The sequence below is a fragment of the Homo sapiens genome, chromosome 2, assembly GCF_000001405.40.
Source record: "Homo sapiens chromosome 2, GRCh38.p14 Primary Assembly".
Classification (NCBI taxonomy): Eukaryota; Metazoa; Chordata; class Mammalia; order Primates; family Hominidae; genus Homo; species Homo sapiens.
The window spans coordinates 138,601,584-138,617,687 of record NC_000002.12 but is presented as its reverse complement, the minus strand read 5'-3'; the positions used below and the strand labels follow the sequence as shown (position 1 = coordinate 138,617,687).

General features: G+C 42.2%; 1 long non-coding RNA gene across 3 annotated transcripts; it reads right to left on the bottom strand.

The window, feature by feature from the left end:
- Positions 1-218: 218 nt before the first annotated feature.
- On the bottom strand, positions 219-16,089 carry LINC02631 (long intergenic non-protein coding RNA 2631). 3 transcript variants are annotated; one of them, NR_174959.1, is made up of 3 exons: positions 15,247-16,089; positions 13,129-13,624; positions 219-436 (listed from the first exon to the last, which is right to left on the bottom strand). It is a non-coding gene; the product is annotated as a long intergenic non-protein coding RNA 2631 (long non-coding RNA). The 3 variants fall into 3 exon arrangements; NR_174957.1 differs by lacking the exon at positions 219-436 and adding an exon at positions 4,436-5,150 and having other exon boundaries at positions 15,204-16,089; NR_174958.1 differs by lacking the exon at positions 219-436 and adding an exon at positions 4,436-5,150.
- Positions 16,090-16,104: the final 15 nt, after the last annotated feature.

Sequence of the window (16,104 nt, the reverse complement as noted above, 5' to 3'; positions counted from 1 at the left end):
TACAGTTTACCATACTCTGGAAAGGCTGTGGAGAATAAATTGGAGGGGTATCATGAAGCCTTATTCATCCATCCCGCAATACTGAACACTTGTTATATACTGTACATTCTGTTGTGCTCGGCAGCAGGGATGGAGTGGTGAATAAAACAAGCAAGCCCTTTGACTTTATGGAGTTTTAGGATAATACTTTTTATGTAGCACACACTATTATAAATACATTTACATGCATCATCTTATTTAATCATCATATTAATATGATCTCTTGTTTATAGCTCCATAAACTGAGGCTTAGAGACATAAATAGTTTGACCAAGACCAGACAGAATGTGGCAGGTCAGATCTGAACCCAGGCAGTGTGACTCCTAAGCTTCATGTACTAAACCTTCATGATAAATCATCACTCAGCTGAATAGTCCTTGGGAGGCATGGCGAAGACCTGTGGCATGGAGGTGAGGAGGAAAGAGCATCAAGAGATATTAATAGTCAGCAAGGAGAAATGCCTGGGCTTGATTACAGAATAGATGAGAGTAGTGAGAGACAGATGTCTAAGCTGAATTAGGAAACTTGGCAAATGAGTGACCAGTTTAACTAAACTTTACCTAATATAAGTTATTCAGAAGAAGCCTATTTACAATGGAAGATAGTGAACATGGTTTTGAAACACTTTTGAGGCACCCAGATAAATTTTTGAAAAACCAGTTTGAAGCCCAGGAAAGAAAAATGAGAAATAGAAATCCAGAGAACCATGGCTTTGTAGATTTTTTATGGATATGAAGTAGGAGAGACTGTATCCCATGTGTAGATTTGCTTAAAATAGTCAGATTGCCAATTCTGAAGTTCTGCAGCCACAGGAAAATGTCCAATTGTACAAATCAGGGAGTAGCTTGGTGGATCGTCTCTTTACGAGATTGGGGGGCATTTTTCAGGTGATGTGCAATTTGGAAGTTACTCTCTTTTCAAAACTCATCCACTAATAGGCAGCTGGATCAGATCCTTTGCTGAGTATGGATTAAGAGAGAGTAAACCTTTTTATGTTTTGTAATTGCATGGATCTTACTTTAACTAAGAGGAGCAGAAATAAGTAGGAAGGCATAAAGAATTGACACATACTCTGTACTTAGTGTCAGAGCTAGACAGATATTCTCTACATCTGGAAGACTAGTCCTGTTAAAAGGAAGTAAATACTTGAGTGCATAAAAATATGAAATATAAACCTGTTTGGTACCAAATGTAATCATCAAATGCAGAGCCAGAACTGGGGTCTGACAGATTGGAAAGCGAACAATCCCATCGAGCCACCTTTGATGACGGCTTTCCCCACTGTCCTCATTAGCATGAATCTGGGTTACTCCTAGAAGGGACTGAGGGTTCAGTTTTTCTAAAGCTGGGCATCAGATGTTATGGCTCTATGCAGTTTCTGGTGTTCTGGTTCAGAAACCCTAATTTTTCTTTGTGCCCTAACTTCTCCATGTTCTGGAAAGAGTCCTTTTCAGTCATGCACATGTAAGGTAAGGACCAAATACTGCCCTTAGGGAAGGTTTGCATGCAGCAAATATAACCACCTAAGACTAAAATATTAAGGAAACTGCGTAGCAAAGTAAGTTGAATATTTTAGACAAGTGTGTCCCTGAAGTATTAAATAAATTCTTCATCCTAAAACAGGACTAGCTTGCCCTGTGCTTGCAAATTGTGAGTTGTGGCTGGGCGCAGTGGCTCACGCCTATAATCCCAGCACTTTGGGAGGCCGAGGTGGGCGGATCGAAATGTCAGGAGTTCGAGACCAGCCTGACCAATATGGTGAAACCCTCTCTCCACTAAAAATACTAAAATTAGCCAGGCGTGGTGGTGGGCACCGATAGTCCCAGCTACTTGGGAGGCTGAGGCAGGATAATCGCTTGAACCCTGGAGGCAGAATTGCAGTGAGCCAAGATCACACCACTGCACTCCAGCCTGGGTGACAGAGCGAGACTCAGTCTAAAAAATAAATAAATAAATAAATAAATAAATAAATAAAATTATGAGTTGTGATTGAGAGATGCAAATAAATTCTCTCCACCTGTTCTCTGCTCTGGAGGACGTCTGTGCTGGAGGACCAAAGACAATGGGAAGGGCGAGACTGCTCTTTGGCACCTTGCTCTGGGAATGAGATTTGTGGTTTCCATGTGAGCTGCTGCACAGCTGAATGAACAAGCCCGGGAAATTCCAAAAGTGAGTTTCTTGGTGCATTCCTGAAAGGCAGGCATTTTGAGTCATCCCTATCATATAGCTGCAGGTCAGGACCTAGATGACAAGGGCCGTCTCAAAAGACATTGCAGTTAGACTGAGTGAGATTGGTCCTCCTGGTAGCAGTTGTAAGTTTCAGTTTGTGTTGTACTTCTACTCTCCTCAAGTTTATAGTCAGGTCTATTTAAAAGTCACATCATGGTGCATCTCAGTTGTGCTGGGAGGGTTACCAAGAGCGCTGCTTTTCTCCCTAAAACTAGCGGGGTTTTAGCAGCCGTCCCCATCAGAGAACAGATGCGACCGGCAGAGTAACCATCGCCTGAGGGAAGCAGCAGCACAGGTCCATGGGAGGTGTTGGGCCGTTTTTTAATTTGTGCAAAGGCTCACTCTACTTGGGCTAGTGGCAGCCTGGCTTTTTTTGGTGGGAGGAACCCTTATCCCCGATCTTGTCCAGTGATGGCCCCTGATGCCCTTTTATTTCACATCAAGAAAGCAGTCAATAAACTTCGTCTGTGTCTCCATCTTGTCCTCTCTAAGGACACGAAAAGTTCTCTGAGTTCAGATGTTCAGTTCAGTTCCCCAAGAGGTATCCTTTAGCTCAATTCATCCACTCCAACTCCAACAATCCCTAATCCACCCCTTCTCTTTCACAGTGAATGTCAACCAAACACCCCCATAAAGGAATGTACTTGAAAATGTGATCTTTTGAACAACTTTATTTATTTATTTACAGACAGGGTCTCACTCTGTCACCTAAGCTGGAGTTCAGTGGCATGATCATGGCTCAATTCAACCTCTGCTTCCCAGGCTTAAGTGATTCTCCTGCCTCAGCCTCCCAAGTAGCTGGGACCACAGGTGTGTGCTACTATCCCTGGCTAATTTTCTTCTTCGTTGTCTTTTTCTTTTGTTGTTGTTGTTGAAATGAGGTCTCACTATGTCACCTAGGCTGGTCTCAAACTCCCAGGCTCAAGCGATCCACCTGCCTCGGACTTCCAAAGTGCAGGGATTACACACACACATGAGCCGCTGCATCTGGCCCTGGACAACATTTTAAATGACAAAATAAAGTTGTAGAGTCCTGACTCTTTATCCTGAAAGAACTCGAGATTTCTTTACTAGTTCTTCCTTCTCTTATTATTCTCAGTTAGTGTTCTTCTTCTTGGTTCTCAAAGTATGAGAATACTTTGCATTCAATACTTTGTCACAAAGTACCTGGACTGCTGTGTGATACCTCCAGGTTTCAAGCCAAACTATTAACATTGTGTCATGAGACACAGCATCGAGAACAAAAACAGCTCAAATGGAACATTGAAGTTATCTTCCAGGCAGCAGCTTTCCATCATATCTGAAATTTGGGGTTTATTCAAACTAAAATTATTAAGTTAAAAATTATTTGAGCTTTTCTACCCATTTCAGCCAATATGCTTGCTTTTTCCTCCAAGTACTCATGTGCCCCTCCCTATGTGCTTTTCAACAGGGTGAGGTTTGGAGAATCAAGCAGGGAAGTATAATGTAAGACATTTTGGTTGAGGATCAGAAAGCCTGGACTTTAGACCCCATGCTGGTGCCTTTTTAATGTTTGACTTTGAACACATCAGTTAAACCTCCTATTTTTAATTTCCCTTTATGTAAAAGTAGTATTATTACAATCGCATAAGAAAAAAGATATAAGGCTAAAGAGCATCAAAATTGTTAAGGGCTTGCTGATGAAAGATGCTGACTCTCTTCCTATGGTTTTTTACTGCTTGCTACAATCCATGGGAACACTTCTTTTCTTTCTCTCTTTCTCTTTTTTTTTTTTGAGATGGGCTCTCACTCTGTCACCCAGGCTGCAGTGCAGTGGTGCAATCTGTACTCACTGTGACCTCCATCTCCCGGACTGAAGCGATCCTCCCACCTCAGCCTCCTGAGTAGCTGGGATTACAGGAGCCCGCCACCATGCCTGGCTAATTTTTTTTGTATTTTTAGTAGAGATGGGGTTTCCCCATGTTGCCCAGGCTGGTTTTGAACTCCTGGGCTCAAGCAATCCACCTGTCTCGACCTCCCAGAATGCTGAGATTAAAGATGTGAACCAGTGTGCCCAGCCATGGGAACACTTCTGATGGCAGAAATTTGGACTGTATTTCAATGGAAACTTCACAGAGTCCTGAAAGTAGTTGACCTTTATATGATTTGGTGTAAACATGAAGAAAAGAAGTGCACACAATAAATATTTAACTTTCAAGTTGTATTTTTCTTTTGAAGTTTATTACAATTCCAAGACAAAATGTTTAGATAGTGCTTTATCCTGGGTTCCCAGGAGGTACAGTCTGGGGCAATATGTATGTGCTAATATTGATTAGAGAATACAGTTCCACGGAGGCAGAAATAAGAAGGAGCCAGTAGGCAGGAAGGAATCGTCAGCACGCTGGCTGCCATGTGCTGGATCTCAAGGGACGCTCGTCTGAGGGGATTCCAGGTGACTGGGACTCAGGTTGGTCCTCACTCTAGGGGAGAAAGAAGAATGTATTTCTTCTCCCTTTCCATGTCTCACTGGCCAAAAGTTTGCCTCTCTGGTTTGTGTTGACTGCCCTGTACTTCCAGCTGGCTTCTATCTGAATAGTCCAAGCATCTCCCAACTCTTCAGCAAGACACTTCGGCGAGGGCTGAGCACCATCATGTTGCTCCTGTGTGAATTCAGACAGAGCTGCAGCAGCCGCTGGGGCCAAACAAGAGCCAAAAAGCCCCAGTGGGAGGCAAAGCCACCAGGACATTCGGTTGTGCTTAAGAGGTGTCAATTCAGAACATCCTTAGAATTTACTTCAGGATTACTTTATTTTGCCAAGATGTAGCCCATATGTATTTATATGTCTCTATTATTCTTCATCAGATAGTCCTTGGGTAATCCATCAAAATGTACGTAGGACATTCAAGAAACCACATAGTGTCTGAAATATCCAGAAATATCACAGAGCGTCATGGAATACTTTTCCTGTCACCCCTAAAAAAATAAATTTTCCCTGCTTGATACTCTACAGCCAGAGGTTTTCTGTGCCCTCAGTCAGAAGATGTGAACTTTCAGATAGTGCTAAGGAGGTGGTTCTAGATAATTCTTTAGGGTTAACCATGTAACCAGGCCAAACTTCTAGCACTGGCTATAAGGCAAAACTGTGACGGTGGCTTTTCCTTTTCCACTCTCAAATTTTTTTTTAGAACAATTCTCTCACCTTCCCCATCAGTTAGGCCCCTGGACTCCCAAAATTCTCACCCTGCTCTGTGAGCAAACTTGATCTCCATCCAGCCTTGACTTCCCCAGAGAGTGAGTCCATATGTGCAGACAGTAGCACTTTTCCACCCTGTCATTCATTTATTTCATTTATTCACTTATTCATTCATTTATCAAATAGATTATCAAGCATTTACTTTGTACCAGGCACCCTCTTATGCTTTGGAGATACAGTGATGAACGGGCAACTCCTAGCTCTTGCAGTGCCACACTCTAATGGCGGGAGCAGATAATAGGAAGTTTGGCTAATTTTGTAAAAGTTCAGATTGTGATAAGGGATACAAGAGAAATAAAACAGTGTAATGAAATAGATTCAGTCTTGTACAGCCTAGAAATCTAACCCTGACCTATTTATTCATGACTGACACTGGTTTTAATGTCTTGCTGTGATTATAAGCATTACCAGATGGGCATGGCAGCTCATGCCTGTAATCTTGGCCCTTTGGGAGGCTGAGGAGGGCCAATCATGAGCCCAAGAGTTCGAAACCAATCCAGGCAACATGGCAAAATCTCACTTCTACTAAAAATAATAAATAAAAAAAATTCAGCAGGCGTGGTGTCATGCTCCTATAGTCCCAGCTATTTTGGAGGCTGATGTGGGAGGATCACCTGAGCTTGGGAAGTTTAGGCTGCAGTGAGCCAAGATCACGCCATTGCACTCCAGCCTGGGTGATAGAAGTGAGACAAAAAATAAAATAATTTTAAAAATAAAAAAATAAAAAAGCATTACCCTGTGAACTCCTTTAGGGCCTCAAGAGGGTATTTCATTTTTTCATCTTCAATATGTTCCTAAGTACTCATTTAAGTGTTGAATGTTAACAGAGACAAAATATTATTAGTCCAACAAATATGTCTTCTTGAGCAATGGTGGGATGTAATTTGAAGCGTAAGAAGCCTTCTTCCAACACCACCTCCCACCTCACATGATGCCTGGAGATTCTGCCCAGGAATGTTCTATAGGCGGTATCCTATAGTAGAAGTTCAATGGCTTTGAAAGAATTTGGCCTGTCCACTTTTAGCGAGAGTTCTTCCTCTTATTATTAGACCTAGATTCAATATATCAGAAATAAAGACTGTCACAACCAAACTCCAAATTAACTAAATTTTTAGGCTTATTTTTCACCCTTTGAGTGGAAAAACTAAAATTGTTTTTCTTCTGCTCTCAACCACAGTAACAATCAATCATCACAGAAGACTTCTGCTACCAAATATGTGGGGGTTTTTCCCCACCAAAAAGCAAGCAATCAATTCTGCAGCAGACACCACTGCGTGCCATCTAATTCAACTCAATTCTGACACTACCTACCTGGAAATAGTGTTAGATCCCACAGAGTGAGGGCTCAGTCCCTAAGATTACCCCACCCCAGCCCAGCTTCTGAGACCAGTTGCTAACCCCAGGTTGTTATTCTTGTGCTTCTGATCGACTGGCTATGAATCAGAGGTCTCATGACATCCAGCCCCTTAGATTTGAATAATTTGTGAGAACAGCTCACAGAACACAAGGAAACACATTTACTGGTTTATCAGAAAGGATATTAGAAAGGATACAGATGAAGAGTTACACAGGGCAAGGTATGGGGAGAGCTGTGGAGCTTCCAAGGCTCACCACCCTCCGGGGCTCACCATCCTCCAGGAACCTCCATGTGTTCAGCTATCTGAAAGCTCCCTGTCTTCTTGGGCCTTTTATGGAGACTTCATTGGGTAGGCATGATTGACAACAGTGTAGACATGAGATCTGATAAAAAGGGTATGACTTAATACTAATAGGCTGAGTGAGGAACCCAGCAAGGCCTGTCTGTTCAGATTTTTCTTGGCCTCTCTGTGCAGTATTCTTTCCTCCCAGGTATGGGGCAGGGCTCCTTCTGAGATGGGGGTCTTATGATCTACAATCAGACAAGCTAAGTCATAAAATTTCTTTTTGGATAGGTTGGGGAAGATTAGAGTCCTGCTTTGGAGGAAAACAAAGGAGCAGGTGAAACGAAGGCAGGAGAAGATCAGAGAGCAAACTTCTATTTTCTGAGGCCTGTTTCTGAGGCTCAATTCACCCCAACATTATAAGAAAAGCCTATAACAAGGGCTATGGGAGTTATGAGTCAGGAAGGATGAAAACATATATATATGATATATATATATATATATAACATATATATATGATATATATATATATAACATATATATATGATATATATATATATATAAATCATATATATATAATAACATCACACACCCCAATGTACTCCTTACACTCTCAAAGGAAAGAGAATCAACAGAAGAAAAGGCAGAACAATACAACCAGACAAAAGCTTTAGAAGTCTTCCTTCTTTTACTGTATCCACACATCATTGGTCAGAATAGGTCAGAATAGGCCAGCTTATGCTATAGTAATAAGCTCGGTAGCCTAACATAACAGAGGTCTCCTGCTCATACAAATTCTGCTGTGGGTCCAAATAAGTCTCTAGAACACTTTCCCTCCAGTGTTACTCAGCCATGCAAGCTGTGCATTTCAACACAAGTCCAGTTCAGGTGCCACGGTGGCTTGTCTATGCGTTGGCCTGGAAATGACACACATCTTCTTCAGTCACAGTCCCTGAGCCAGAACCAGTCTTGTAACCCTGCCTACCTGTGCAGGTGCTGAAAAACGTGAGGAAGCAACTGGGATGTTTGAGGAACACCACTGCCTTTCCCACATTAGTCACTAAGGGTATCAAGGAAAGAACACTAAAAGCAAGGAAGTGTTCATGGGCCCCTGACCCTGGTCTATGTCTGCCTTACTCTCCTACCAACACCAAGATGGGAATCCTGGGAGGTTCTTACACAGTTTTACATAGCAGGTAGAATCAGTTGGCAATAAAGCCTGGAGACTTGTCTCACTATTTCTGAGATTCTGGCCACCATCGCCGCCCCATCCATGGCTATGGTTATAAAAATCTCTCCTTAAAGTTGTAATTTCCAAATGATAGCTTGCCCCAAATATCAATGCTTCCCCAAAACAGTCTAAAAGACTTTCATGACAGATTCTGAAAATAGGGTCGAAAACACATTAAGGCCGGTCACGGTGGCTCATGCCTATAATCCCAGCACTTTGGGAGGCCGAGGTGAGCGGATCACTTGAGGTCAGGAGTTCGAGACCAGCCTGGCCAACATGGTGAAACTCCATCTCTACTAAAAAGCATAAAAATCAGCTAGACGTCGTGGCATGTGCCTGTAGCCCCAGCTACCCAAGAGGCTGATACAGAAGAATTGCTTGAACCTGGGAAGCAGAGGTTGCAGTGAGCATAGATCGCACCACTGCACTCCGGCCTGGGCAACAGAGCTAGACTCCATCTCAAAAATGAATAAATAAATAAACACACACATTTGCAAATAACCTGGTTTGATCATTTGGTGACATGGTTATGGACATAAACACTTTGATTTTTAAACAATTTTGTTCAAAGTCAGAGGAGTGACTGATAGCCGCTATTTAATATTCCCCTTGGAAAACAAGAGGCTGGCATCTGGTTTCCCACAGATTCTTCGGTGTCACAAACAGGTTCTGCAAACTACAAAAGACCTTCCGCAGGGCCCTGCCCTTGTGACTAAGGGAAGAGAAAGAAACTCTGTGTGTGTGTGTGTGTGTGTGTGTGTGTGTGTGTGTGTGAATATGGACAACTAGCATCACAATTTCATACTTTTGTCATTTCGCCAACAACAAAACTGTGGATGGGAAGTTCTAACTAGAAACCTCTGGAAAAGAAAGGGGATAGGGAGAGGTAGAGGGAGAAAATATGTTCCTTCTCAAGATAGTGCCCACTAGACCTTTAATACATACCTATTTTTCCATTCTTAGAGATCTCTCATTGACTCATCAATTCAACAAATATTAAGGATCAATATTAATCCCTGTAAAAAGCACTGAGGAATCAGTGGCCAGTAACATTAACACAGCCCTGGTGCAGTCTGGTATGGGAGACAGATGGTGTACAAATAACCACATAAACAAATACGTAAACTGCAGTCATGAGCCTATGCTTGTTTGTTCTCAGAGCTGTTTTCTGCTCCTCCCCTGCTCTGCTATATTTCCTTTTCCTTCTGTCTTTCTGGTAGGTTCAGTCAGCAGAAGACTCTGGCAGGAGATTGGAGGGGAGGAGGAAGGGAAAAGCCAAGGGATGTTTTTCCCCATCACTACTTCTCCTCCCATCACCCATGAGGCTTTCTCCAGCTCTCGGTTTCTGATGACGCCACCTCTCCCCTTCATCCCTTCCAGTGCCAGGGATGGCAGTGGCTTCCACCAATTGTTTCCCACATGCCCAGCACCCCTATAGCCAATTCCTTCATGGATTTCCTTCCTGGGCAATCACATAACAATAAAACCTGTGTTGAGGGCCAAAAAGGAAAAGTATGTTGTGAAGAGAGGACAATCAAAGATCTGTTATAGTCTTTATGAGTGAAAAAAGCTTCTCCAAGAAAGAGACACTTGAGCTTAGATAGGAGGAACGAATCAAACTCAAATAGGCAAAGAATGTGGTTAAGAGCTACCTAGAACAGAGGGCAGCACAGGCAAAGGCCCTGCATCAGAGGAGCTTAGAGCTGAGAAGGAACTGAAGTAAGCGGGTGTTACCAGGGTGCAGGGGGCAAGGACAGAATGGGTTATAGAATGGGATGGCAGTTAGGAAGAGGCTGGATCATGCAGGTCCTATAGGCCACGTTTAAGACTTTGATAGCTATCATGAGGATAACGGGTAGCAACTGGACAGCTTTAAACAAGATAATGATAAGATATATATGCATTGTTAAAATGATCACTGTCTATAGTGCAAAGGCTGTGATAGAAGTGGGTGAGAATGGATGTAAAGAAACCAGACAGGATGTACTGCAGGAACACAGGCAAAAATAGCAGCCTGAGCAAAGGATAGTGGTATTAGAAATGGAGAAAGATGGACTCTAGGGATATTTAGAAAACAAATCAGTAAGCCTTGGCAATTGATTAGTTTAGAAAGGGTGATGGAGAGAGGGATGTCAAGGGTGACTCTAGGGTTTGGCTTATCCATGTAGGTGCATGGATGGTGGTGCCATCCACCAAGACAGAAGAAGCTGAAGGAGGGATGGGCTGTGTGTGCATGTATGGAGTGAGGAGGAGATGGATCATAAGTGTAGTTTTGCTCATGTTGAATTTAAAGTGACTTAGAGATATCAAAATGCATTTATCTCTCCTAGGCACCTAGATAAATGGGGTTAGAGCTCTGTGGCATGTTGGATTTTTGTTTCCAATTCTTCACTCACTTGCAATAGAATTTTACACTCACAGTCTTTGCCATGTAACTTTCCTAGTGGGAGGGGTATGTTTCCCCACCTATTGATTTGAAATTTGGCCCTGAAACTTACTTTGGTCAGTAGAAGGTTAGTGGCCAAGATGCAAACAGAGACTTTTAACATGCTTTCATGTTTGGCTTGTCCTCTTGTGATCTTTCATGAGAAGAGCATGCTTTAGCAAGCCACTGCCCCTCTAGCCCAAGCCTTAGAATTAAGATGCACTGTTGACCCAAACACAACCAGGTGCTTGGGTCTGGCCTAATCCAGCTGAGCAGTGCCTTGCCTAGCTGATCTGCAGACCTGTGAGCATTGTCATAAACCACTAAGCTTCTGAAGTTATTCATTCTGCAGCAGAAACCAAGGAATATAGCTCAAAGGAAAGGATCAGACAAGAGATATACTTTTGTGAGTCACTGATATGAAAATGGTAACTACAACTTGTGTTGTAGATAAGATCTTTCAGGGATCAGAGTCATTACACGATTTTAAAACAAATCCACTTTGGATAGGGCTGGACAAACTTTTCTTTGATCATCCCTCTGTCCTCTGAGCCAGGTAGTGCATCTCATCTGAATACCTTTAACCCTCTCTTCCATGGCACTGCAGCCAGGCCTGCTAATCAGAGCCTCATGCTCCAAACTTGTGTCACTGCCTTCACACCCAAACTCTTTGTCCTCTACCCATCTTTTGGCTTAGACATCTATGGAACGTTCTGATTTGGTATGTCTTTGAGTGGCAATGGCTTATGCCTCTCAAACATTTGCTTTTTAAATGTACATTTCAATGCCCTTGGGCCAAAGCTAGCTAGATATCAGGCTATGTGGAGTTAACATCTTTGCCAAAGAGAGCCTCTGTCTACATCACAAAGTTGACTGCCTGCAGCCATCAACGTAGAACATCATTCAACTTTCTCCAAATGCCAGTGAAAGGACTTTAAACACAATCTTTTATTAAATTATTTTTATTTTTATAAGTTCTGGGGTTCATGTGCAGGATATGCAGGCTTCTTACATAGGTAAACGTGTGCCATGGTGGTTTGCTGCACCTATCAACCCATCAAGTAGGTATTAAGACCAGCATGCATTAGCTAATTTTCCTAATGCTCTCTTTTCCCCAGCACCACCCCGACAGGCCCCAGTGTGTGTTGTTCCCCTCCCAAAACAGGAACCTTTTAAAGACTCCATTTAGATTTCTTGATAGGAAGAAGAAAAGGTGGAAATCTATATTATGTATGTTGATTCCTGGTTCCTCCAGTTAAGGAATCCACATGGTTGCTCCAGTTTAGAGTTATCTCAAGTTCTCATCCTCTTTCTTCCTCTCTCCTCATTATTTTTTCTTTCTCTCTTTTTCATTTCTCTCTCTCCACTCAGGCTGCATTCATTAAGCTCTCTTTGCTTACGTTTGAATAAAATGAGCACACTGAAATATTTAGGTGATTTCCTTTTCCCTTTGCCTGTGCTAATTCCTTAGCCAATTCACTACCATAATAGAAGTTTATTTTCATCTTTCTCCATTTCTCTGTTCTGTGTGCTTGAAGAATTCTCTTGCATATTCATTACATCTGGTAATCTAACTCTCTCTATTCCATAAATGATTCCCTTCATCTTTCAGGGGATATCGAATGTATTTTTTTCCTTCCCTGTTTGAAATCAATCTGCAGTGATATTTGAGTTCTATGTGGATCTAATGGAAAAGATGAGGAAAAAACCCACAACATCCACATCCCTGATGGTTACCGCTCAGGCCTCTTCACTAAGTGTTTTAAAGCGCACCCAGGCAGGAGCTGGAAGGCTTGAATACCAGCTCCAGCTCTTACACTGGTAGCTATGTCACCCTAGATTGTATTCTCCTTATCTTTTTTGTTTGGAGATGGGGATGTCACCCTGTAACTCAGCTGGAGGGCAGTGTTGTGATCATAGCTCACTGCAGCCTCCAACTCCCGGGCTCAAGTGATCCTCCCGCCTCAGTCTCCCCAGTAGCTAGGACTACAGGCACACTTTTTAAATTTTTTGTAAAGATGGGGGTCTTTCTATGTTGCCTAGGCTGGTCTTGAACTCCTGGCCTCTAACAATCCTCTCACCTCAGGCTCTGGAGTTGCTGGAATTTACAGATGTAAGCCACCATGCCTGCCTCCTCCTCCTTGCCTTTAAAATGGTGATAATATTATGCTAATTACCTTATCTGTTGACCTATTTAATCTGCATAAGAAAAATTTTAAATATGATTAAATATTGAAAGCTGTAGCAGTTAGGAATATATTTGGTAGTAGAAACAAACTAATCAACTCACAGTAACTTTAATAGTTGGGGTCATTTTTCTCTTAGAACAAGAACAAAATAAGTGATTACCTGGGTGGGTTCAGTGGATCAACAGCCTTTGTCTTCATCAGGAGAGCAAAAATTGCCCCAGAACATACTCCTAACAGATTTGCACTTGTTTTCATGGCTGGAAGTGAGTCATAGGGCCACACTTAGCTCAAGGGAGACTGGAAAATTGAGGATTTGGGGGCCAGTGGGTGGTAAAAAGAAGGGTGTTGGAAATATTTTTGGGATAATCATTTAGAATTATCTGCCTCAGGAAGTTTTGAATTAAAATCATATTAATTAATGTATCTACAACCTCCCTTTGGAGGGAATGCAGTGCTTCTAGAGGCCTCAAACTTCTGTTTTCTCAGAGAAAGCAGAAACCCAAGAGGAGAGCCAAGTGTCTGCTGTGCCTCTTCCTTGGGGCAACATCTTCCCTAGCTCTAGATTGCTGGTCCAAGGGAATCAGGCCACTCAGTTGGCTTCGTCAATGGAAATTCTCAACACAGAATGCTCCTCTTCCACTGTGAGATGTTTCACCCTGCAAATAAAAGTGCAGAATCTCAAGTCATGGGGCACACGTGGAATTCTGACTCTTCTCTTTTCTAACTCTTGATCTCGGACAAGTTTATGGTTAAAACACTCACATTGCTAATTTGAAAATGGGAATAACAATGTTACTTATCTCTTTTCTATGGCAGTGAGGATTAAATGGAAAGCACTAAATAGAGTGGCTACCATATGTAACTACTCAGTAAATGGTAACTGCTATTATTAACATTAGTAGTTGCTATGGACTGAATCTCTATGGCTCCCCCAAAATTGATGTGTTGAAACCTAATCCCCAATGTGATGGTATTTAGAGGTAGGGCTTTTGGAAGTGATTAGGTCATGAAGGTGAGGCCCTCATAAATGGGATAAGCACAGTTTGTAAAAAGAGACTCTCGAGAGGCCCCTTGCCCTTCAACCCTGTGAGAACACAGTGAGAATATGGCTGTCTGTGAACTGGAAAGCAGGCCCTCACCATACACAGAATCTGCAGGCACCTCAATCTTGGACCTCCCAGCCTCCAGAACCGTGGAAAATAAATGTTTGTTGTTAAAGCAACCCCATCCAGGATATTTTTGTTATAACAGTCCAAACAGACTAACGCAGTAATCATAAACAGTAACACTTTTTAAATGTACAGATTTTCCAACTCTGTCAACTTTACTCCAAAAGGTTAACAACAAAAATTATGTGAATAATGATTTCTTTCTGTTTGCATCTAAAATTAAACCACATGAGCTTATTGGAATTCATCCTAGAATCTCTGTAATTGTTAGTATTTGAATGACAAGCTCTCCCATACATTTACTAAAGTTTGTAAAGAAAGCTATGCCATTCTGGAGTATGATGATCTGTCCCTGTGACGTATCTAGAAAGTTCATTACTTGTCTGTAGTCGTCTCTTGCCAAATTCAATTTGCAAAGACAATAGCTTCATAGCCATTTCTTTTAATCTTGTTTGTAATATTGCTCATTAAATAGAAGATATATTATGCCAGATCTTGTTCATTTCAAAGCAAATTATAGAAGGTGACTAAATTGTGCACCAAGAGAAAGAGTCCAATGTTTTACCAGCAAGGCCACAAAATCGACATCTGCTTTTTGACAAGCTGAGAGATCCAAAAGAATCTTGACGTATCTTAATGCTGTCTGTCATATACCACAATGTTCATCAATTATTTCTTTGTGAAAGAATGACTAATTATTATGCCTACATGGGGTTCATTTGCATATGCAAGCTCAAGTGTTTTATAGAGAAAAGAATGTTGATTTGTGGTGAGGGCAAACTCCTTCCCTCCAAATTAAAATACTTCTTTTTACACACAGTTACATTAGGCTTGCTATTGAAACCCAGGGAGAGAGAAAATATAATTCAGGAACTGAGTCCAAATCTATTTTCCCATTTCCAAGAAAAAGGAAAACAGTATATTTTTCATGTATTTTAGACTAAATTTTTGAAAAATGTGCCATGCAGCTGCCATTGTTCATAAGGGAAAATGATCTGGATACAATTGGCCTAATCAACTCTTAACCTGAGAACATAAGTGGATGATTTCACCTAGTGTTACCCACACAAGCAGCTGCTGACATCAGGGTCCTTATGAAAATGCTGCACCTGAGACTGATGCCAGGTAGATGGCACTGGGGATTTCAGACTCCAGAACTGAAAACAAGCTGAGCATCTGGTGGAGCCATCCGCTGATCCAAAAGGCTGCTCTCTACAGATGAATGGGTGTTAAGACAGCTGTCCTTCCTAGACCATGAGCAGCTGCTGGCCAGGGTTGCTGCCTGCCAAAAGGGTGGAGTTGGGAGAAACCAGGAGTCAACCACAGCTACCACAGTCTAATGAGTTAGTTTGATACCAGGGACATATTAGGAGGACTTGCTGCTGCCACGAGCTTGCACATGACTCTTCTCAACTGCAGAGGAAAACCAGTATGATGCCAGGCTAGAAGCAGCAGCATCACCATCAGCCTGGTCACATTCTACTTATAGCCCACTCCATCTGACAGCATAAAGCTAGACCTGCCCTGGGCTGCTGGTAGCATAAAGCCAGACCTGCCCTGGGCTGCCAAAAAAGTCTTCCTGAAAGCCATGAATGACATGCAAAGGAGAAATATGAAACATCTAAGTGAATATAGAGGAGAGGGCATTTCTGATAGACACTCATGAGTCAGGCCCACAGGCTTAAAACACAGTGATACTTGTACTGGTTTCTTACAGCTGCTGTGACTTAAAACAACAGACATTTTTTCTCTCATGATTCTGGAGGCTGAAAGTCTGAAATCAATGTGTTTTCAGGGCCATGCTCTCTCTGAAGTCTGTAAGGAAGAATCCTCCTTTTCCTCTTCCAGCTTTTGGTGGTTTCTGGCATTCCTTGGTTTGTGGGAACCTAAATTCAGTCTCTGCCTCCATCTTCATTCACATGGCCTCTTCCCTGGGTCTCTGTGTGTTTCTCACAGTCTTCTTATGA